At 38.2% G+C, this 23,516-nt stretch overlaps 1 protein-coding gene and 1 long non-coding RNA gene across 5 annotated transcripts in view; one reads left to right on the forward strand and one right to left on the reverse strand.

Annotated features, from left to right (window-relative positions):
- Positions 1 to 23,516, forward strand: part of MID2 (midline 2) — a 105,903-nt gene that overhangs the window by 68,813 nt on the left and 13,574 nt on the right. For 2 of the 4 annotated variants that reach the window (NM_001382751.1, NM_012216.4), the window contains exons 4-7: positions 9,411 to 9,518; positions 10,931 to 11,079; positions 21,455 to 21,582; positions 22,959 to 23,192. In NM_001382751.1, coding sequence (NP_001369680.1) covers positions 9,411 to 9,518; positions 10,931 to 11,079; positions 21,455 to 21,582; positions 22,959 to 23,192 — 619 coding nt within the window. The remainder of the gene's footprint in view (positions 1 to 9,410; positions 9,519 to 10,930; positions 11,080 to 21,454; positions 21,583 to 22,958; positions 23,193 to 23,516) is intronic. The other 2 variants (NM_001382752.1, NM_052817.3) reach the window with 1 other exon arrangement.
- The window catches only part of LOC101928335 (uncharacterized), a 41,384-nt gene continuing 17,917 nt past the window's right edge, over positions 50 to 23,516 (reverse strand). The window contains exon 4 of the long non-coding RNA NR_110395.1: positions 50 to 1,813. This is a non-coding gene — a long non-coding RNA (uncharacterized LOC101928335). The remainder of the gene's footprint in view (positions 1,814 to 23,516) is intronic.

Genomic DNA, 23,516 nt, shown 5'->3' on the forward strand with positions numbered 1-23,516 from the left:
TTTGTCTCATGTAATAAAGAAATGTAACATAGTATACAATACCTTTTTTCATAATACCTTTATTTCAATGCCTACACACATTCATTCATTCAACAAATATTTACTGAGCATTTACTGTGTGACAAGCACTATTCTAGGTGTTAGGGATACAGTGAACAAAAAGTGCTTAAACTTAAGGAGCTTACATTCTAATGGGAGGAGACACACAATAAACAAACATATTTTTATTAGGGATTATAAGTATTACGGATAAAAATAAACTAGGTTACAGAGTGGGGTGAGTGTGTGTGTGTGTGTGTGTGTGTGTGTGTGTGTGTGAAAGAGAGAGAGAGAGAGAGAACGCCAGTTGAGCAAAGGCCTGAAGATATATTAGAACTTCAGAAAACTACAGAAATGTTGGTTGACCAGGCCTGCCTAAAACATTATGGGACTTCTAGAGAGTTTTCTTTCTTTTTTCTTTTTAAAAATAAGTTTAATCTTACATAAAAGTTGCTAAAATAATACAGAGAGTTCCCACATACATTTAACTAACCTTCTCTAATGTTAACATCTTACATAACCACACAACTATCAGAACTAGGAAACTGTCATTGGTACAATAATTCTATTGAGCAAACTATAGACCTCATTTGATTTTTACCAGCTTTTGCATGCACTCAACTTTTTTTGGGGGGGGGGTGGATAGTTCTATTAATCTTATCACATTTATAGATTCTTGTAATCACCACTGTAATTAGGACATTATTGTTTTATCATCCCCCCAAAACTCATTTGTGCTACTTCTTTATAGGCACATCTGTCCCCCAGCAACCACTGATATGTTCATCATTACTATAATTTTCTCATTTCTAGAATGTTATGTAAATGGAATCATATAGTATGTAAAATACTGTGATTTGCTATGTCACTCATCATAATGGCCCTGAGAGCCACTGAATTTGTTGTGTACATCAATAGTTTTTTATTTTTTATTACTAAGTAGTATTCTACTATGTGAATATTCTACAATTTGTTTATATGTGCCCACGGTGAAGAGCATTTCAGTTGTTTCCAGTTTTTTGCTAATAGAAACAAAGCTGTTATGACCATTCGTGTAAGGTTTTTGTGTGGACATAAATGTTCATATTTCTAGGGTAAATACACAAGGATGAGAGCTAGAGAGTTTTATTTCTTCAGAGGGATTTATAAGCAAGTGCCATGCTTTACAAAACAAGCAGTAGATTGGAAAGAACACTGGATAGGACTCAGAAGATCTGGCTCAAGCCTTGCCCTGTCATTTAGTAGCAATGTGATGCTGGATAAGCCTCTCCCCTCTCTAGGCCCCATATTTCTGTCTCTTAAGTGATGGAGTAGGAATCGATTATTTCTTCAGTCTTTTTAAGATCTAATTACATGGTTCTGACGAGATAGAAAGGAGGTTTCTGCCTCATTTCACAAAAAATTTTATAGCTATGTACATAAAATACCAGATGAAAAACATAGGTTATATCTCCCACCTTTTTCTTCCATGTTCCAAACAGTTACTTGGTGGCTTACACCTGTAATCCTAGCACTTTAGGAGGCCGAAGGTGGATGGATCGCTTGAGGTCAGGTGTTCGAGACCAGCCTGGCCAACATGATGAAACCCATCTCTACTAAAAATACAAAAATTAGCCGGGAATGGTGGCGCATGCCTATAGTCCCAGCTACTCGGCGGGGTTGGGGGGGTTTGGGGGCTGAGGCTGGAGAATCACTTGAACTTGGGAGGTGGAGGTTGAATTGAGCCGAGATCATGCCACTGCACTCCAGCCTGGACAACAGAGCAAGACTCCGTCTAAAAAAATAAAAAATAAACAGTTACTTTGCTTACAAAGAGAATATGGGGGAGACAGTAACTAAGCCTAAGGCTATAAAGGTTTGGTTGTCTGTTCCCTGAGGAGAAAGGACTCCAAAATCAACACAGAATGGCCACATGGCATAATGCCATTCCTAAGGCATGTATATGAAGCAGATTGTCCTCACGCTCTGTCTCCATTATTTTTATTAGTTAGACATAGAGTAAAGTACATACAAAATATATGTGTGTATATATATGTGTGTGAACTGTCTATGCTTTTAAAATATGTTGTATTATGCATTTCTATACAGGTACTATTTTTTTTCAAAAGTCAGGAAGGAAATACACAAAATATTTGCAATGGTTAACTCTAGAGATTGTGATTGTCGTGAGAGGCAACTCTAAAGGAAAAAGAAGTATATGTTTGTGAGCACAGCCTCTCTCTCTCTCACACACACACACACACACGCACGCATACACACAGTGGTTAAAACCATAGACATGAGCCAGACTGCCTGGGTGCAAATCCTGGCTCTGATATTTACTAGTTATATGACCTTGGGCAAGTTACATAACCTCTATGTTTTCTCGGTTTCTTCTATAGAATGGGAATGGTAATAATAGTACCTACCTTATGGGGTTAATGGGAAAAGTAAACAAGTGAAAATACATGAAGCAATTAGAATAGTGCCTAACATGTGGTTAGCACTATAAAAGTATTAACTCTTATGTACTCCTCCCACAAGCAGATAGAAAACTTTTCTGTCAGTCATTGTCTATCTGAAGGCCTCACGTAGCATGAGTCCCTGAGCCCAATTCACTACGATAGTTATACTTCTAGAAATGGCTTGGCTGCCACCTCCCCATCCACACTACTTTTCTAACTTTAACAGCCAATCTCCCAGCTACCTCTACTCTCCTAATCCCTCACCCCTTCCCTGGCCAAAAAAATTACACACTGAAGCTGTAGATTCCTTAACTATGTCTCAGTATTTTTTTTGCTTGCTAAACTGTAGTTACTCCAGTACAGGTGACTAAAAATTCTATTAATAATTTCATTTATTTCTTGCTCCTTTAAGTGACCACCCTCCCTCAAATCTAAAGAAACAGGTATAACCAATTTTTTTTAAATCCCTGCTTCATTTAGTCATACTTACGTAAAGCTGGAAGGACCATCTTTGAAATGTTGCAGTGTTTACCTTTAGAAAACAAAAAAGAAGATTGTCTCTTCTTCCTCTTCCTTTTGTACATTTGAAACTTCCTGATATAACAGGGCTATAGTGCTGGTGGTGATCATGATGCTAGTGCTAGTGGTAGTGATGTGTGTGTATGTGTGTGCGTGTGAGAGAGTGTGAGGGTGGGAGGAGAGAGGGAGAAGGATCCTTAAAGTGTGATCTGGGTTAACACTTTAGCTTTGATGCTGCCACAGCAAATGCTATGTCTGTTCATAAACATTGTGTTTTCTTAAATGCATCATTTTAAGAAAGTAATGAATTCTTTGCAGCTCAGTAAGGTGACAAGGCTGTTCATAATAATTTCTTGATAATTCATCAGATGTCCAATTTACCTCTCACTTTTCCTTCTCATCTCCTTTGCACAGAAAGTGACTGCTTATTAAATAAAGCCAAACTCAGCCTCTTTTTTCTGTTATGGAGTCTCAGAAGGTGGGATAGTGATCACCTGAGTGGTCCTGGGCAATAATGGGAAGTGGGAAGTTTGTTGTGTCCCCCTCCCAGTTCTTCATGTACTGTGTCTGCCTTCTCTCTTCACCTTGCTCTCAACTAAGATGTCAATTAACAATTCTTAAGGTGTTACTATAATGCTAAGATCCTGACATTTTTATCCAAGTACTTTCAGAGACTCAAAATGACAGCACAGCTCTCCATAATATATCTCCAACCCTTGTTTCTAGCCTTGTTTGCCTCCATTACATCTGTCAGGCTGATCTGCTTTAACCAAGCACGTTTTCTATTTTTCTGCTTATGCTTTTGCTCATGCTATTCATGTAATTCATTCTGCCTAAACTTGTCTCCCCTTAAGCTCCATTTCTAGCTGCCCAAGTCTTGCTCATCCTTGAAGACCAGCTCAGCTACATGAAACTTTATCTAATCCTCTGATTGTCCTTTTCCAAATTTTCTCTTTCCTATGATCTCATACACCTTTAATTGTATTCTATTATATTACTTGTTTTGCTGGTCTTTAAATTATAATTAGTTGTATTCACACTCATAGTCTCTACTAGACTGTAAGTGCCTTGAAGGCAGAAGCTGAGTCATTTTCATCGTTATATCCCACTCAGGGAAACCCAGCACTATGCTGGATACATGTGGGATATACTGTGGTATGTGGGAGACACTCAATAAATGTTTGTTGAAATAAAAACTTCCCCAAATGAACTTTAATGCCAAAATTTCACAATATTCTGGTGAAAGGGAGATCTATTTGGGCAGAAGATTTCAGAGAATAAACTAGGCTGGCATTTACTGTGTAGAGTGGAGAGCACTGAGACGGAGAAGCCAGTGAGGAATTCCTTGCCATATAATTATTATTATTATTATTGCATTTCACTTGAGTCTGGGTATATGGGATCATCTACTATTTCATATATCTTGTTCCATCTGAACAGGAAATCTCAGTGCCTTCTGAACTCCTGTGCAATGATGCACTATAGGACTGATGGATGTGACTAAGCTGAGGTGAAAGTGGAAGTGGGGAAGTTATCGTGGGAGTGGGTTGGAGGGAAGGCTGATGAACTTTAAACCCAGGAATAAAATAACTATAGAATGAGCAATGGAATATCTCCCCTGCCCCCTCCCCCTCCCCCCCCCCAAAAATCCTAACTATCAAATAAGCTCTCTGAAAGAAGCTAAGGGTAAAAAGGTCTAGTCCATTTACATTTCAATACAGAAGAGAAACAATTGCCAAAATAACTTTTTGCAGTTTCTTAAATCTTTGCAACTTATGGCTTTGGCGAACTCCCACCTATTTATTTCCTAGTATTGAACAGTGGTAAAGTCCTTCCATCAGGGGCCTTATGTGTTTGTATTAAGAATAGGTGGAAATTGGGGAAGACTAGGTCTTACTCTACAGTCAGTCTTTGGGCTGGGAGGTAATAGGGTAGGATGGGCAGTTGGAAAGAAATATGCAAGTCAAATTTTTGCTGCCTTAAGAAGAAAGTAAAAGAGCAAAGAGCAGAGAAGAGGACCTGGAGACTTACCAGGGAGCCTGTGTTGCCTAGTGTTTAGGACTTGGAAGATTGAGGCTAAGACTCTTAGTCATAAACATCACAAACTGCCTCCCAAAAGTCTTTTTGGGGTGGGTGGATTTATACAAGTAGGTTGCCAAGATTGACCTAATGGTATTTTCAAGGAGGATAGATTTTTTTTCCACAGACATAAAGCCATTTAGACAAAACCACTAACCTAATACAAAGAGCGAATGTCAAATAAAGAGCTAGGGTCTTCCACAAACCAACCAACCAGCCAAGTATGCTTATTAAGGTAACCCAGTTATTTTCAATTAAGCGTTAATAAGCAAGTGAAATACCTCAATGTATTATGTCTTCAAACAAAGAAAATACCAGGGGCTTTCAAATGTCTTCCAAGCAATTTGAGTTGTTTTATTCACATCACAAAGACCGGTTTTCCCTGAAGTATTTCCTGTTCAGAAAACACTTAAGGACCCTGCTCTTCTGGGGTGCTTCTTGACATGAAAAGATTTTAATGTCATTGCTTTACCTTTAGTTTGGAATTGTGCCTCTTCAGCCAACTTTTCATTCTATTAGTTGTGCCTGGTTTTATCTCCCCTGATGTGACTGTCCAAAAAACATTCCCACCCTAGCTCCCTCATTTCACCTTATATTTTCTCTACAAAATACACTCACTGGAGTATATTTTATAATGCTTGGCATTCTTATTTTGATTTTTTTACTGTGCTAAATCAGTCAGTAAATGTTTGTTGTAAGGCTTTGTACCAGTTATAATGGGAGAGACAAAGTAGTGTAAAATCTTCCCTCAAGGAGCTTGCTGTCTAATTGAAGATATGTAAGCAAAAGAGTGCTTCTTATATTTGATATTTCCTTTCTATTACTGATATTCTCCTTGGGTATGCCCTGTCCACATCACAACAGCCTCCTAAATAGTCCTCAGGTTTACTATTACCCTCCATCAAATCAGTCCCTGTTCATCTTCTTAAACAAGTTCACTGTGGTACTTCTCGCACCACCTTACCTTTCCTCCCCTCAAAAATACTACTTAAAGATACCATATTGCCTAAAAATAAAGTTCAGTCTCATTTGTTTGGCTTGAAATTTCTCTCCTTCACACCTTTTTAATCTAAGTCTTATTCCATCTTTAAGATTTAATTCAACTTCCATTTCATCCATGCATCTTTCCTTCACTTACCCACCAAAAGTAATCTTTCCTTTTAATTTCAGTAGATTATAGTCTACATCACCCATTCAGTATTTAATTTATGCTACCTTGATTGGTTTCTTTTATATGTATATGGCTCTTCCCCATCCAGTTTGCAAAGTTTTTGAGGGCAGGGCCTTAGCATAATGCTTTGCACAGAAAAGATGCTTGATAAGATGTCTGGTAATGAAGACATGATTTTTCCTGGCTTCAGAGTAGAGGAAGGATTATGAGGATGGGTGGCAAAGGAAATATTCTGGAGGTAGGGAGATTAATTAACGAGGTTTTTGCAACAACAGTCCTATCACAATAGGTGATAAGGGCTTCAACCTATTGGTTCCTTGGCTCAGATCCTCACTATATTAACGAATAAGGGTAGTCAAGTGAAGCAGTGGGAATGGAGAAGGAACAAAGAAACCTGTAACTATTTGCGATCAGTTGGTTGTAAACACTACTGCACTTGGACCAGCCACTGAGGAAATTTAGCATGATTAAAAAGGAAAGGAGGGAAGGACTTTGGGACTGCTGTGAATTTATGTGGGGACAAAGGAGAAGTAGCAGTCAGAGTTTACTGAACCTGAGTAACTGCAATAATGATAGTAGCATTGACACAAAAATAGGAAAATCAGAGGTGGAAGCCAGATCTGGAGAGAAGGTGATAAGTTTGTTTTTAGACTTACTGAGTTTAGGGTAACTTGAGTAACAAAGTGGACATGTCTAATGAGGAGTAAAAGATACCTTTTTTCACATTTAATTCAATCCAACAAATAATTACGGAGCATCTACTATGTGCCCATCATGATAGTGGAGCTAGATATAGTCACATAAGACACAATTCTTGCCCTCCAGAACTCATGATGGAGTGAGGAAGACAGACTAATATGATAAAATATAGGAAATGGTATAATTGAACTATATATAGAGTATGTGAAAATATAAATAGGGGATCAATTGCTTGTGTCCAAGCAAGTGAGAAAAATCATAGAAGTGATGATCTTTGAGAAGGGCCTTAAAAGATAAGTAGAAATGTGTTCAGTAAACAGATGGGGAAATGACTTTCCAAGTAAAATGACAATCTCGGGCAAAGGCACAGGACATGAAAGTGCATGGCATTCTAGGGGAACAACAAGGAGTCTGAAGTGACTAATGAGAAACGGATGACAGAATAAAGATGGATGATTTGAAAGAGATGATGATTTTCAGAAATTGAAGAAAAGGGTGTTGTTACACTCAACTGGAGAGCAGCATATGTGTAAGGTTAAACGTGTAGTCTCTAGTATTGCACTCTCTCAGCCCAAATCTCATCCCTGCTATGTACTAACTGTGTAACCTTAAGCAAGTCACTTAATCTCTCTGTGCTTAGTTTTCCTCATCTGTCAAATGTAGATAAAGGTACCTACCTCGGGACTGTTTTGAGGATTGAGAGAGCCAATATATGTAAACTAATTAGAGCAATGCCAGGCATATAGTGTTATGTAAAGGCTAGTCCGAGGATTACATTTTAAGAAACCAGGTACGACATCATTGTGTACTACACCAGTAGCCACCTAAAAAAGAAATTATAAATGGCAAGTGTCTAAGTTTCTAGATACTGTAAGCAAGGACCCAGAGAAAACTAAATGAATCTCTTAGTCTCAGATAAAGGAGTTCGTGAGCTGGTGAGATATCTGCCTTGGAAAGGTAGATCCAATTTAGGGAAAGGGTGAGGTGTCTGAGAAAAAAAAGTAGAATGGCTAGAGTGCCATTCAGAGTAAACAGAAGCCCCAGTTGTGACATTGCCCTAGAAAATGGAAAAAAGCAACATAAGATTGTCACTCAGCAACAGACATATTTTATTTCAGTTAAGTAGGAAACAGAAAATTAGCCATCAGTGAGCTTCAAGTATGAGAGAGGGGGTAGTAGGGTCCAGTGACAGGTATTTTGCTCGGGTTGGAGAATATGGAGCAACCCTCTGAAGAGGGATAGCAATTGGAAATGCAGCCCTACCTTGCTAATGAAGCACATCTAGCCCCTTGAGTTTTGATGCTCTCAAGTAACCCATTGTCTGTTCCTCAGCCTTCTAGAGCTCTGCTCGAGTGATCCTTGAATAGACTCTTGGAATGCTTGTGCTTCCCTGTATGACTGCTCTGTGTGCTGCTGAAATGGAACTGAACCTCGCCCGCCCACCCAGCCAGCCCAGGGGTTTCACTTGACAGAACTCGGTTTGAATTCTGGTTTTACCACTTACTAGTTGTGTGATTTTTGAGCAAGTCACTAAAATTCTCTACGCCTCAGTTTCCCCGTATGTGAAATGGGAATAAACATGGTTCCTATATTGTAAAATTGTTATGATAATTACATGAAATAATTTACCTATGAAGTGCTTGGCAAGTTAAGTACTAAAAAGATGTTAGTTCTTTTCTCCTTCCTTTCCTGTTATACTTGGGCAGCCCCAAAATCCCCTGCTCTCATTTTAGCCCCTCCTGGGGGCTCTGTACCATCTAGTGTCAATAATAATAGAGATGAGGAGAAGGAGAAATCAATCCATGGAAAGAAAATGCAGAATGGTAGTTTTTTTTTTTTTCCAACCCTGACTTTGCAGTAAAGATGTTTTGATGTAGCCAGTATCCCAAAATAGGAAAGGTATTCAGATACTGGACAGCCCAAGGTGAGAAATACCCACTAAAACACGACAACTATCTGAAAAATATATACACATGAATATATGTTTAATGATATATTTAATGTGAAAAATTAGAAGGGAACAAGGAAAACTGAAAATATTTTTGTTAGCACAATATATTGTTGTAATGTTATCTTAATATTGTGCCTGTGGAGGAGGATACTCTTTTCTTGACATACATAAATCTCCTTACCCTCTTTCCAAAAGAACAGCAGGAGGAAAGGGTACTGGAGTAAAGGGAATTGTTCAGTGGGAATAACATGCCCCCATCTCATCTGTCCTTCTGCCCAGCCTTCCATTAACCATCATGATCTACCAGAGGCCTGGAGAGCTTCCTAACTGTGGTGCTTCAATGCCCTTGCATCATTAATATCATCATCTCTACCCTTCTTCTAGGAGTGGATCTTATGAGGGAGGTATGGAAGAAGTTGTGCATGCTTAGCTGTCAGTCCGAACCTTTTAGAGCCAGCAGGGGACAAAGGCAACAATCACTGTGTAATACTCTGAAATTTCTTGGCAGGTGAATACTGCTATGCATGAGGCAAAACTTATGGAAGAATGTGACGAGTTGGTAGAGATCATCCAGCAGAGGAAGCAAATGATCGCTGTCAAAATCAAAGAGACAAAGGTAAAGCGCAGCACTTCAGTGAATCCAAGGAAGGGTTGACTTTACAAATATCAAAGTTTGATCCAGATGATTCTGGTTTGATCATGAAATCAAGAAGAAATGAGATTATAGGGGGAGAGGCAAAGAAGTGATGTTTGGCCTACTGCTCTGAATCCAGTAAAAACGATGGCCATTCTGGGGTGTTAGAAACGTTCTATATCTTGACCTGGTTTACGTGGGTGTATGTGTAGGCAAAAGTTCATTGAGCTGTACACTTAGGATTTGGGTGCTTTACTGTTGTATGTTATAACTCAATGAAAAGGAAAAAAGTAATGGTAGAAATGTGAGTCAGGATTATGGACCATGAATTCCAGGATGAGGACTCTGGGCTTAATCTGAAAAGTGTTGGGCAGCCATTCTCGTTTCTTAGGAAGGGAGAAAGACGGATTGATATGGCAGAGGTATGCAGGGTAGATCAGAATGGGATGATACCAAAGTCAGGGTAGCAAGTTATGAGACTTATGGAATGATGCTTTGTAAGAGTTGATAAAGACCTAAACCAGAGTAGTGGCAGCACAAATGGGAGGGAAGAACACAACAGGCACTGCTAGAAAGGAAACGATAGGAAACATTGAACTTTTAAATATAAAAGACGAATGAGAGAGAGGGAAGACTCAGTGAAGACATTCAGGTTTCTAGCCTGGGAACTGAAGAATCATGATCATAAGCGTCAAGTGTGAGCCTCCATACAGCTATATGGTTTTAGGCTTGTTGGCTTGCTCGTCAGTGTTAGTGGTTATAAGTTCATGCTGTGTGTATAATGTGAGATGTTTTGAGAGGCTAGAGTGATCACTAATAATTTGTGCCATGCTGAGTGGTTATAGCTTATCCAGGAAACTAAAGTTTCCAAGAATACAGATTTGTGAACACACAGGTATGCATAAAGACACTTAGAGAAATATGTACATAGAACTGTAGATACTCATAAAGAAAAAGATGGTACTTTTTAGTAAACATATATGTGAAAATATATTGACAACAAAATGTAAACAAACAAAAATGTAAACAATTATAATCTCTGGGTGGTAGTGTTTCTTTTATACTTTTTATTTTCTGAATTTTCTATAATGGGCATGCATTGATTTATAACCAGAAAAATTAGTGTTACTAATACACAGAGGAGGTAGATAACCGAGAGTATATGACTGTGTTGCAGCCTAAGTATGCAAGCAGTAGATAAGAGAAGGAGGGGTTGGCACAAGAGACACAGTGGGTAGGGTGAGAAGGTGAGTGGTTAGTACAGGGACCATGGAATATTAATAAACCTTATTTTTAGAATCACTGCAGCATGCCTCCTTCATGTTGTTTTTTATTGTTTTTAATTAAGCACTGCATGTTTTATCTTATTTTTTTCTTTTACTAATTCCTTAAAGGTTATGAAACTGAGAAAGTTGGCACAGCAGGTTGCTAATTGCCGCCAGTGTCTTGAACGGTCAACAGTCCTCATCAACCAAGCTGAGCATATCCTGAAAGAAAATGACCAGGCACGGTTTCTACAGTCTGCAAAAAATATTGCTGAGAGGTCAGTTCCTTATATTCTTTGGAAATGCCTGCTCTTGTGAAAAGAGGCCAATTTAAAGTCACTTAAAGTTCAGGCATGTATCTAACAGCTGCCACCTGAAGATTTTACCAGTTAAGTAGTTATTGAGCCTCAGTGGTAAATTACCCTTTGGATTTCTGGACCCTTGTCTCTGTCTCTGCAGCCTATCAGCTCTTTTAAGGCACAGTCAAGTACCAGCCGTAGCTATTGCCATAGCTCCTTGCTGCTCACTCAGCGCATGAGTTTTCTATGATGGTGTTGGTATAAGGGTAGAGAAACTTTTAGCTATATTGATAGGTGCGTGCTCTTCTCAGTCTGCATGCAGTTTCTATTGCTTTCATTTAGTTATTCTGCACATAAATCCTTTATGGCAGTAATTTTTAGGCCTTTATTTAATCACTCACCCCTTTCTAAATTAGATGAGAGTCATGAACCTTCTTCCAGAGGAAAAACAATGCATTTAATAAATATACACAGATAATTTTCTATACTATTTCAGAGGACTTGCAGATCCTTAGAAGCCCATCCATAGACCACTGGCAAAAAAACCAGGGTCTAAAGTGAAACATTGTTCAGTATAGTCACCAAGACTTCAAGGGGCTGCAGAGGCTCATAAGGCCAGATTTGACCTCCATATATCTCCTTCTCATTCATTGAAGACCTTGGCTCCAGGCTCGCAGTGTTCCTCCCATTGCCTCTGCCATCATTTTGGGTGACTTCAGCAACAACCACATGGCTGACTCATCTAATGCTTTAGCCATCTAGCTTCTTTAACATCCCCTCCAACAGTGACTCTCACCTCAGAGCTCCATCTCATCCACCCATTTTCATGGACCACATGCTGAATGAACTTCACCATCACTCAGAATTGCACTGAAATCATAACTTAAAACATGCCAGTTTTTAACTATACCCTCTACTTAACAACTCTTTTTTCTTATTTTTGTTTTGTTTTGTTTGAGACAGAGTCTCACTCTGTTGCCCAGGCTGGAGTACAGTGGTGCGATCTTGGCTCACTGCATCCTCTGCCTCCCAGGTTCAAAGGATTCTCCTGACTTAGCCTCCCAAGTAGCTGGGATTATAGGCATGCACCACCATGCCTGGCTAATTTTTGTATTTTTAGTAGAGATGGGGTTTCGCCATTTTGGCCAGGCTGGTTTCGAATTCCTGGCCTCAAGTAATATGCCTGCCTCAGCCTCCCAAACTGTTGGGATTACAGGCGTGAGCCACTGCCCTCGGCCAACAATTCTTTTTTTCTTCAAATACGTGTATACTTCAACTTTGTTGAGACTGCTAAGGCCTGACTCCTATACTTTCTTCCGACCTACCAGCTATTTCCTGTCTTCGCTTCTTTCTTTAGCCTATTTAGGATCTGTGATTTCTCACTTCAGATACTCTCTTTTCAATATTCTCAATCCCCTTGCCCCATTGTCCTTTTAACATACCAACCTGATAAAGTCCTAATCCTGAATCAGTCCCACTTTTTCCATTCCTATATTTGAGTTGCAGCACCCTACTGGAGAAAATCACATAACCAAAGAGGTTGGTACTACTGCATCACAAATGTATAGCTTCTAAACCTCACCTGGGCCTTCAGTGCTAACCTGAAATCCTTCTGCATTGCTTTGGTCAGCTTTCTTTTTAACTTGTCATCATAATGGCTATCTCAAATCTTTTGTACTTACCTCAAAATTCCAACTCTGCCACTTTTCTGCTTATGCTCAGTAAATGCCCTCTTATTTTACAAAGAACAGTAAGTGTGAAATAGCGAATTCAACTTCTCATATCAAACTTCTGAACACACTTAGGTCCACATCCATTAACTTCTGCCTTCCTTCTGATTAAAATGGAAGAGATGTCTCTTCATTTGTGCTTTGGCCAAATACACTCTTTTTTCCATAGCTTCAATTTATCCCTCTCTATAGTTGACTTCACATCCATTTTTAACCCACTCATGTCTTTCCTACCTAAAACCAACCAAACAAAAAAACCCCATGACTTTCCTCTACTTCATATCCCCTCCAATTATCACCTGTCCCTCTCCTTCCCTGCACAGCAAACTTCGCGAAAGACTTTACATTTCTTCACCCCTAATTTACTCTTCTGAAATATTTAAAATGTATTTATATCCAAGTAATACCTTGTGCATAGTTAGAAAGTAAAATATTACTATAAGTCATATTGCAAGAAATAGCAATCTCCTCATTCTCAATGTCTGCTCTCTGATAATACCATTATCAATAGAGTTCTTACTTTGTACTGGGCATTATTTTAAGCCTTCATAAGTATTAACTCACTTAATCCTCAAAAAAACTTTATGAGGTAGATACTACTTTTATCCCCATTTTATAAATGAGAGAACGATGTTCAGAGAGGTTAAATAACTTGCTTACAATTGTCCAACTAGTAAGGGGCACAGGCAAGATTCAAATTTAGGGAGTCTAGTGCCACAGTCTACACTTTTACAACAAAGCCAAGCAATTTCAGCTCTATCAGATGTTTTTATTGGCATGACCTTACATTTCTAAATAACATCCTTACATTGGTAGTTTTAATTTTTTTCAACTTTAGACAGTATCAATTAACTTCTGCAAATTTGGACTTTTTTTCTGCCACTACTTCTACAAATATTTTTATGCCACTTCCTTCCTCTCTATTCGGGATTCCAATTACATGTATATTTGGCTGTCTGAAATTGTCCTATAGCTTACCAATGCTCTATTTTTGTTTTGCAGTCTTTTTATTTTTTTGCCATTGTGAAAACACATGCAAGTGTGTTTCATTTTGGATAGCTTCTATTGATATATCTTCAAGTTCACTAGCCTTTTCTTCTGTGATACCTAATCTGCTGTTAACCCCTCCAGTGTATTTTTTATCTTAGATATTATAACTTTCATCTCTAGTTTGATTTGGGTCTTTTAAAAAATGTCTTCCATATCTCAAGATATTCAGGCTGGGTGTGGTGGCTCACACCTTTAATCACAGCACTCTGGGAGGCTGAGGTGGGAAGATCACTTGAGACCAGCCTGGGCAACATAGCGAGATTCCATCTAAAAAAAAAAAAAAAAAAGCCTGCATCTGGTGACATGTGCCTGTAGTCCTAGCTACTTGGGAGGCTGAAGCAAGAGGATCTTCTGAGCCCAGGAGTTCAAGGGTACAGTGGGTCACGATGCTGCCACTGCACTCCAGCCTGGGCAACAGGACAATGTCTTGTCTCTGAAAACAAAAAAAGATATTTAGCCTTTCCTCTAGCTTTCTGAACATATGGAATACAGTTAAAATAATTGCTTTTATGTCCTTGCTTGCTAATTCTAATACCTGTGTCATATCTGGGTCCGTTTCAATTGGTTGCCTTTTCTTCTCATTATGGATTGTATTTTCTTGATTTTTTGCCTATCAGGTAATTTTTTACTGGATATCAGACTTGTTAATTTTCTCTTTCGGGATGCTGTATATTTTTGTATTCCTATAAATATTCTTAAACTTTGTTCTGAGACACAGTTAAGTTACTTGAAAACAGCTTGATCCTTTCAAGTCTTGGTTTTCAGATTTGATAGGTGAGATCAGAGCAATGTTTAGTCTAGAGACAATTTTTCTCCACTACTGAGGCAAAACCCTTCTGAGTACTCTATTCCAGTGTCCTGTGAGTCATGAGATTTTCCAGTTTAGCTGGTAGGAACACACACTATTGCTAGACCTATGTGAGTACCAGGGATTGTTCCCTCTTATCTTTTTGGGTGGCTCTTTCCCCAGCATTATGCAGTTTCCTCGCATGCATTTGTTGATCAGTATTCTGTTGACTACTAGAGGGAAACTCTGAAGGTCTCTAGAATTCTCTCTGCAGCTTTTTCCTCTCTGGTACTATGTCCTGTGAACTCCAGCCAACTTCGTCCACTTGGATTCTCAGCTCTGTCTCCTTAATTTTAGGGAACTCATTGGGCTCTGCCTGGATTTCCCCTTCCTGTACCACTTGATTCCCTTAAGCTTTTCAAACAAACGCTCCTGTAGTTTCTTAAGAAAGAGTACATGGGAAGTAAATTTTCAAGAACTTTTTGCCTAAAAATATTTCAAGTTAATTTTCACACTTGATAGGTTGGAAATAAATTTTGAAGGCATGACTTCATTGTCTCCTGGCTTCCATTATTGTGTTGAGACGTTCACTGCCGTTTTGAATCCAGATCTTTTGAATATAACCTATGTTTTAAAATCCAGAAGCTTAAACAAAAGTTAATATTACTTTTAATTGACAAATCATAGTTGTATACATTAATGGGTTGCAATGTGATGTTTTCATATATGCATACAATGTGGAATGACTAATCAAAGCCAATTAACATATCCATTACCTCACCATTTTTTGTGGTCAGCCATTGAGATTTACTCTTTTAGCTATTTTGAAACATACAATATGTTATTATTGATTATATTCACACTGCTGCACAACAGATCTCAGAAACTTATTCCTCCTGTCTAACTGAAACTTTATACCCTTTGTCCAACAACTCCCCATTCCCTCCTCATACCAGCCTCTAGTAACCACCATTCTACTCTCTATTTCTATGAGTTTGATTTTTTCAGATTCCACCTATGTGCGAGATCATATGGTATTTGTCTTTCTGTGCCTGGCTTATTTTACTTAGCATACATCCTCCAGGTTCATTTATGCTGTCAAGGATAACAGGATTTCCTCCAACTTCAGTGGCTGAAAGGTATTACATTATGTATCTATACCACATTTTCTTTATCCATTCATCCATTGATAGAAACTTAGGTAGATACCATATCTTGGCTATTCTGAATAATGCTTCAGTGAACATGGGAATGCAGATATTTCTTTGACATATTGATTTCAACTTCTTTGGATATATACTGACTAGTGGGATTGCTGGATCCTACAGTAGTTCTATTTTTAGTTTTTTGAGGAACCTCCATACTGTTTTTTATAATGGCTGTACTAATTTATATTCCCACCAACAATGTATAAGGGTTCCCTTTTCTCTACATCCTCACCAGCACTTATCCTTCCTCCTTTTAATAATAGCCATTACGATCTAGAAGTTTTAAAGATCTTATCTTTAACCCAGTTTTTCTGAAATTTCATCAAGATTTGCCTCTGTTATAGATTTTCCTTTCCTTTCCTTTCCTTTCCTTTCCTTTCCTTTCCTTTCCTTTCCTTTCCTTTCCTTTCCTTTCCCTCTCTCTTTCTCCCTCTCTCTCTCTTTCCTTCTTTCTTTCTTCTTGTTCTGTTGCCCAGGCTGGAGTGCAGTGGCACGATCTCAGCTCACTGCAATCTCTGCCTCCCAGATTCAAGTGATTCTTCTGCCTCAGCCTCCCTGGTAGCTGGGACTACAGGCTCACGCCATTACGCCCGGCTAATTTTGGTATTTTTAGTAGAGATGTGGTTTCACCATGTTGGCCAGGGTGGTCTCGAACTCCTGATCTCCAGTGATCTGCCCACCTTGGCCTCCCAAAGTGCTGAGATTACAGGTGTGAGCCACCGTGTCTGGCGCGTTGTGGACTTTTTGTCATTCATTTTTCCTGGGCACTCAGTGAATCTTTCTAATCTAAAGACTGGTGACCTCTAGCTCTGGGAAATGTTCTTGTATTATTTGCTAATAATTTCCTCCCCTTTATTCTTTCTCTTCTTTGTTTATGGGACTTTGATTAGTGAACTGTTGGACATCCTAGACTTTTTTTCTCTAATTTTATCTTTTCCATTTTCCATGACTTTGTCTTCTTATTTTACTAAGATACTTCCTTAATTTTTCATTAAATCCTTCTATTGAAATTTTAATTTCAGCATTCCTAATTTTATTCACAAGAGCTCATCCTTCACCTTGTTTCTTTTTTAGCATTCTGTTTTTGCTTTGTGGATACGAACTATTTGGTTTTCTTCTTGAGAATATTGTCATTTTTAAAAGTTTGCTTCTAAACCCTGCATTGTCTGGGTTTCCTCCCAGTTCCTTTTCTCTGTTAGTTTAAATTGCTGTCTTTTCCTAAATATCTGGCAAACTACTGGCTGTGTGTTTGAGTTTAAGCACTAAAAGATGACTGGAAACTCTGAGTGGATGGGAATAATTTATGGGTTGGTGAACTTTGCTATAGGATTATAAGGCGGAATGCTGGCTTTTTATTGATGGACTCCCAAGTGTCAGTTCTGTAGGTCTTTTCTCTTGGGTCAGTTTCCCTTGGATGAAATCCTCCAATCTCCTGCTTTTGATTGGAGGGGCAGCGGTGTGGAAGGTATAAGCCTGGCTGCCAGCATTCTGGGAGCCAAGGAGGGAAAAGGAGCTGAGAGTTTTAAGACTGCTTTTAGTATAATGTCAAAGATCAGCAGAAAGTAAAACTCACATATCCTGCCAGAATGAGGGAAGGGTAGTCTCTGGTTTAGTGTGCATGGATCTGTGGATCTAGTTGTTCCTCATGCAAACTTTCAACTTTCTGTGGCACTAAATCAACTTGATGTTGTTGGCTTCCTGATCTAGCTTTCTCTGGACTGTTATTGGTTACCACACATTCATCCCTTTCTAGCTTCCAAACATTTGTTGACAATCTTTTACTTGTTGGCATCTCTTTTCCATTCTCTTTGTCTTTGTGGGTTTATGACATTTCATTCTTTGACTGTTATTTCAGTGAGATTTCATGAAAGCAAAAATAAAACATATATTCAAACCACTGTATTTAATAATCTCTGCTCTCCAACCCTCTGAAATGTTTTGTCCCACTACCACACCATTGAAAGTATTCTTTTCAAGGTCATCAAATGAATACCTTGTTGCTAAATATAATAGACACCCCTTTGTTTCATCTTACTTGATCTCTCAGTAGCATTTGTCCTCCTGAACATTTTTACTTGAAATTTCTCTGCCCTTACCTTCCATGAACACTCCTGGTTTTCTTCCTACTTTGTTGTTTTTGTTTTGTTTTGCCTTTGTGAGCAATGTTTCCTTGGCCTATTCCTTTAATGCTATTGTTCTTTGTGATTGTGTCTTAGGTTATTCTCTTCTCTCATTACACGTTCTCCTTGTTGCAAACTCATTGGTTCCTAGGGCTTCAATTACCATCTAGATGGTTATGATTCCCAACTCTTTATCTGAATCTTCTTTGCATAGGCTCAGGTATAACCTGAGGTGTAGGTGGAATAGATGACTATCTATGTAGTATGACTTGAGAATCATCTACTCACCTTCAATACTGGTCTCCCACAGGGTCTGAAATTTTCCCCCACCATTATGCATTGTATTGTGTTAAGCCACCATGACTTCAGTTAAAATGAAATTTTAGCTGGGAGAGATATGCCTTTCCCCTTACAAATGACACCTTATATTATGTGCAATAGAAACCAAGGCCTTGAGAGACTGCAACAAGATCGCTAATGTTGTGTTTTGCTTAAATAAAAAAACACAGACAGTCAGATACACACACACACACACCCCACCATGTCACTTTTAACCCATTCTTAACCTTTGGTCCATCATTAACATTTAGGAATATGGTATTCTAATATTTCTATTTAGATATATTTCACAAACATGATATGCTATATATACTATATTATACTCTACATTTGAAACAATGTATCACAAACTTTTCTCTATATCATTGGATATTATAAAACCTGATTTCCAATTGCTTCATGTTATTTTATCTTTTGATGTATAGTACATTACTTAACTCAGTCTCCACTGTTAGACAATCAGGCTACATATGGTGTGTTGAGTGCCCTTGTAGTTCTATCTTTGCATACATCTCAATTATTTCCATAATAAAAATTTTATGAAATAGAACTGTGGTGTCAAAGAAGACTTATATTTTAAGCTATTTTGAAATTTAATGCTAATTTGGCCTTCAAAATATGTATCAATTTCAATCCTAATACAAATATGTAGGCATTATTGACTATAGGCATAAAAGCTCCTATGCTGTCATTTGTTTGTAATTTAAACGCTATCTCATTTTAATTTACATTTCTTTGATTTCTCATAAAGTTGGACTTTTTAAATATATTTATTGGCCATTTGTTTGCTTTGACTTTGTTTTCTTTGATGCTTTGTGAATTAACCCTTTTTGTTTTGTTTGTTTACACTCATGCTTATTCCAAGACACTTTAAAATCTGGTCTCTTTGCCTCCAATTTTGACCCTTTCCAATCCCTCCACTGAAGCCATAGTAGTATTCCTGAAACATGAATTTCAGCATATTATTTCCCCACCTAATGCTTAGTGACCCCCATCGTTCTTAAGATAAAATCCAACGTTTGTAACGTGGCCTACAAAGTCCTGCATGATTTTGTCTCATTCTCCAGGCTTCAAACAAGAGAGAACACACACACATCCACATAGTCTTTGCTTAGTTAACTCTTACTCATTACATAGGTCATTGGTGAAAATCGACTTCCACATGGGAGATTTCCCTTAGCTCCCAAGTCTCTTTAGATAACTCCTGTGTATGCTCTACTCCCTTTGTAGCAGCACTTCTATTGCCCACGTAATGTCTTTCTCCTTCATGATGTGTGAGCTCTTGAAGGCAAGAACCACAGCAAAGCTTGTTCACTTTGTGTATCTCCAGTGCCCAGTACAGTGCCTGGCACATTAGTTGTGCTTAATAAGTATTGGATAGATGGATGGAGGAAATAAAGAAGATTGGAGAGGCCAGAAAGAAATTCCATGAGCTAATTTTCTAGATTAACTGTTATCCTAAAGAAGTTGTTGTCTCCTTACTCACCAAATCCTGGCTATTCATGTGAGACCTTATGATTGTACTGAGCTAGTCTTTCATTTGGCCTGTAGTTTATCACTGAAACATCTCTATTTTCAGAAACAATAAGAGGTGTTGTTGGTAGATGTATAGCAGGGTATATGTACATGAGGATATGTATTTTTCAGTTTCCCATTCCCTTACAACTAGTTCACCATAAAAGTTTCCTCTCTGGTCTTCCTACATTCAATGCCTTTTCTCTCTCCTCTAACCTACATATTATTGCCAAGTGAATTTTTCTTTCCTCACCATCATTTACATGTTCAAGGATCTCATTGGCTCTGATTTAGAAGATCTTGCACAGGACTAAAACATGTATATTTTGGCAAAAGCTCCTCCAGATAATCCTGATGTGTAGCGATGGCTAAAAATTGCTGAAATATATAAAATATACCTCAATTTTTTGAAGAAAAGAACAGTCTAAATGGTTAAGGTTATAGAATTTAGAATCAGATGGACATGGGCTCAATTATATTTCTGACTCTTACTGGTTGTGTGATCTTGGACAAGTTACTTAGCATTTTAATGTGCCAACTTTCTCATTCGCAAAATGGAAATAACATCTACTACATAGTGTTATGGTAAAGAGTAAATTAGATAGTGTATGTAAAGTGAATGCACAGAGCATTGTATATACTAAGCACCCAATAAATGTTAGCAGTTATTTTGTTGTTAGTCATTCAATTGTTCATTCAACAATTATTTTTTCACTATGTGTCAAATGCTGTGTTAGGGCCATGGAAGATATTAAGAGGTACAAAATATGAACCCTGCTCTTGAGACTCCTAGATTTAGTTGGGAAGATAAAACTATCATAGCACTATACAATCTGAGGATAATAAAGTGAAATATAAATATTATAAAAGATCACATAGGTCAGGTGCGGTGGCTAGCTCATGTAATTCCAGCACTTTGGGAGGCCAAAACGGGTGGATCACTTGAGGTCAGGAGTTTGAGACCAGCCTGGCCAACTTGGCAAAATCCCGTCTCTACTAAAAATACAAAAATTAGCTGGGTGTGGTGGCGGGCCACCAGCTAGGGAGGCTGAGACATGAGAATTGCTTGAACCTGGAAGGGGGTCGGAGAGGCAGAGATTGCAGTGAACTGAGATGGCGCCACTGCACTGCAACCTGGGTGACACAGCAAGACTCTGTCTCAAAAAAAAAAAAATCACATAAAGGATATATTTAGGGAAGGTGTTAACCTAGCATGCTGACTTGCTGACTAGCATAAACAAAAAAGAAAAATCTCTCTTAAACTGTTTTTACCAAACCTTTAAAGGTCTAGTTTTGATGCTGTCTGCCAGATGGAAAATGATGCAGAGGGGAAAAAATCCTGTATTTACTTCTCAAAATTAAGACCGGATGGGGGAGTGTGTTTGAGGGGTGAACATATGTGAATAAATATGGTATAACTCTTAATTGGTTCCTGATGATTAAAATTTAAATAGTTTCCATTGGAAAGGCAGAGATATGATATTTTCACTAAATAAATCAAGCCTTACAAGTCATTTATTTTCTCCTTGTTAAACCAGAAATCAAACACTGGGTGAAAGTTGCAACCTATTTTGATGTATATTGATGTACTTTTCTCTTTTTCAGGGTCGCTATGGCAACTGCATCTTCTCAAGTTCTGATTCCAGACATCAATTTTAATGATGCCTTTGAAAACTTTGCTTTAGATTTTTCCAGAGAAAAGAAACTGCTAGAGGGGTTAGATTATTTAACAGGTGTGAAAATACTGTGCTTTCCTTTCCATTTAATTTTTTTTCTTCTGGTATGCTTTTACTTAAAAATAATTTGAAAAAGACAATATTTATAATTTACATATTTTATAATCTTTAAAATGATGCATGTGTCTTTTCAGACAGAATATATTTTAGTTCATGTAACAGAAAAAAAGATGATTTATGATTTGTTAACTATTTCTAGGGTCAAAATGGGTATACCATCTGTACTTAAGAGTAAAACACAAGAAATTGCTGATAGATTTGTCCTTATGAATCTAACAGTAATGTATTGTTGCTAGTTATGAGAGTAGAACTCAGGTGACAATTAGGGAATATTAGAGAATGCCTTATGTGGGTGTAAGTACAACCAAAATGGTTTTAAGGAAAATTAGGAGTTAGTAGATCAGGAAGAAAAATGTAAGAAATATCTGGCTCTCAGACAATTTTAGAAAATGAGGGATGCAACCAGCCTGTTAAAAATGCTGGCTACTTTCAGGATTATTTAATGATCATTTCATGAAAAAAATATACACAAACAATTTTTGAACTGTTTTGTTACTATATTAAATAGCTGCTCCTTATTGAACATCTACTTTATTCTAGACACTGTATATTAATTTTGTATCTTTAAACCTTACAACAAATCTATAAGTTAATTATCACCCCTATTTTATAGATGAGGGAACTCATTATTTTGCACTTGACTATACAGCTAAAAATATATAATGGGGCTGGGCACAGTGGCTCACGCCCATAATCCCAGCACCTTGGGAGGCCGAGGTGGGTGGATCACCTGAAGTCAGGAGTTCGAGACCAGCCTGGCCAACATGGCGAAACCCTGTCTCTACTAAAAATACAAAAATTAGCCAGATGTGGTGGTGGGTGCCTGTAATCCCAGCTTCTCAGGAGGCTGATGCAGGAGAATCACTTGAACCCAGAAGGCAGAGGTTGCAGTGAGCCGAGATTGCGCCACTGCAGTCCAGCCTGGGCAACAAGAGCAAAAATCTGTCTATATATATATATACTCATTTTGAAATTTAAAAAAATAAGTTGAAGACCGTATGTTAAGAAAACCATATAATCACTTTAATGTCTACATAAGTGTTTATGCAGGCAGACTAGACAGCTGGGGCAGTCATCACAAAAATTTAGGCTTATATCTTTGCTAAAATATTTTTATTGATGTAGCAAAAGTGGTTTTAGGGAGCTTGAGATCCCAGCATTTTGCTTCAGGTTGCATGGTTCATGCAATCTAAAGATTCTCTATTAAGAAAATCTCTTCAAGAGATGTTGGGTTACGCAGGAAGAGTAACAATTGTAAAATTCCAGAAGAGAAAGTATGCTTTCCTTACTTTCTTTTCCACCTTTCCTTACAGCCCCAAACCCACCATCTATCCGAGAAGAACTCTGTACTGCCTCCCATGACACCATTACAGTCCACTGGATCTCGGATGATGAGTTCAGCATCAGCTCCTATGAGCTTCAGTACACCATATTCACTGGCCAGGCTAACTTCATCAGTAAGTCATGGTGTAGTTGGGGCCTGTGGCCAGAGATAAGGAAATGTAAGGAAGCAGTAAGCTGCTCAAGATTGGCCGGGGCGCCACGAGGCAAGTGTTTGTAAGACATGTTAGGTTGTTTAGTATAGTGTTTCATAGACAGTGTAAGCTCCCCAGGGCATTGCAAAGACCTTACTGATGGGTAACAAGCAAGTTGTATATTTCCTTGCTGGGCAGTTGCTGGGGCCATTCCCATTCATTTATGTAACCCTTAGCCTTTCCTCAATTAATCCATGTCACTCCACTTTCCCAAGGAGAGTACAGCTTGGTACTTGTTCCTTGCCACCATCATTGCTGGTTCTGTGTGTATGAACATCTCTCTCCTTGACTCTTCTTCTACTTCATTATCGTGGTAAAATACATTATGTTCAAAGA

This window comes from Homo sapiens, chromosome X, assembly GCF_000001405.40.
Source record: "Homo sapiens chromosome X, GRCh38.p14 Primary Assembly".
NCBI lineage: Eukaryota > Metazoa > Chordata > Mammalia > Primates > Hominidae > Homo > Homo sapiens.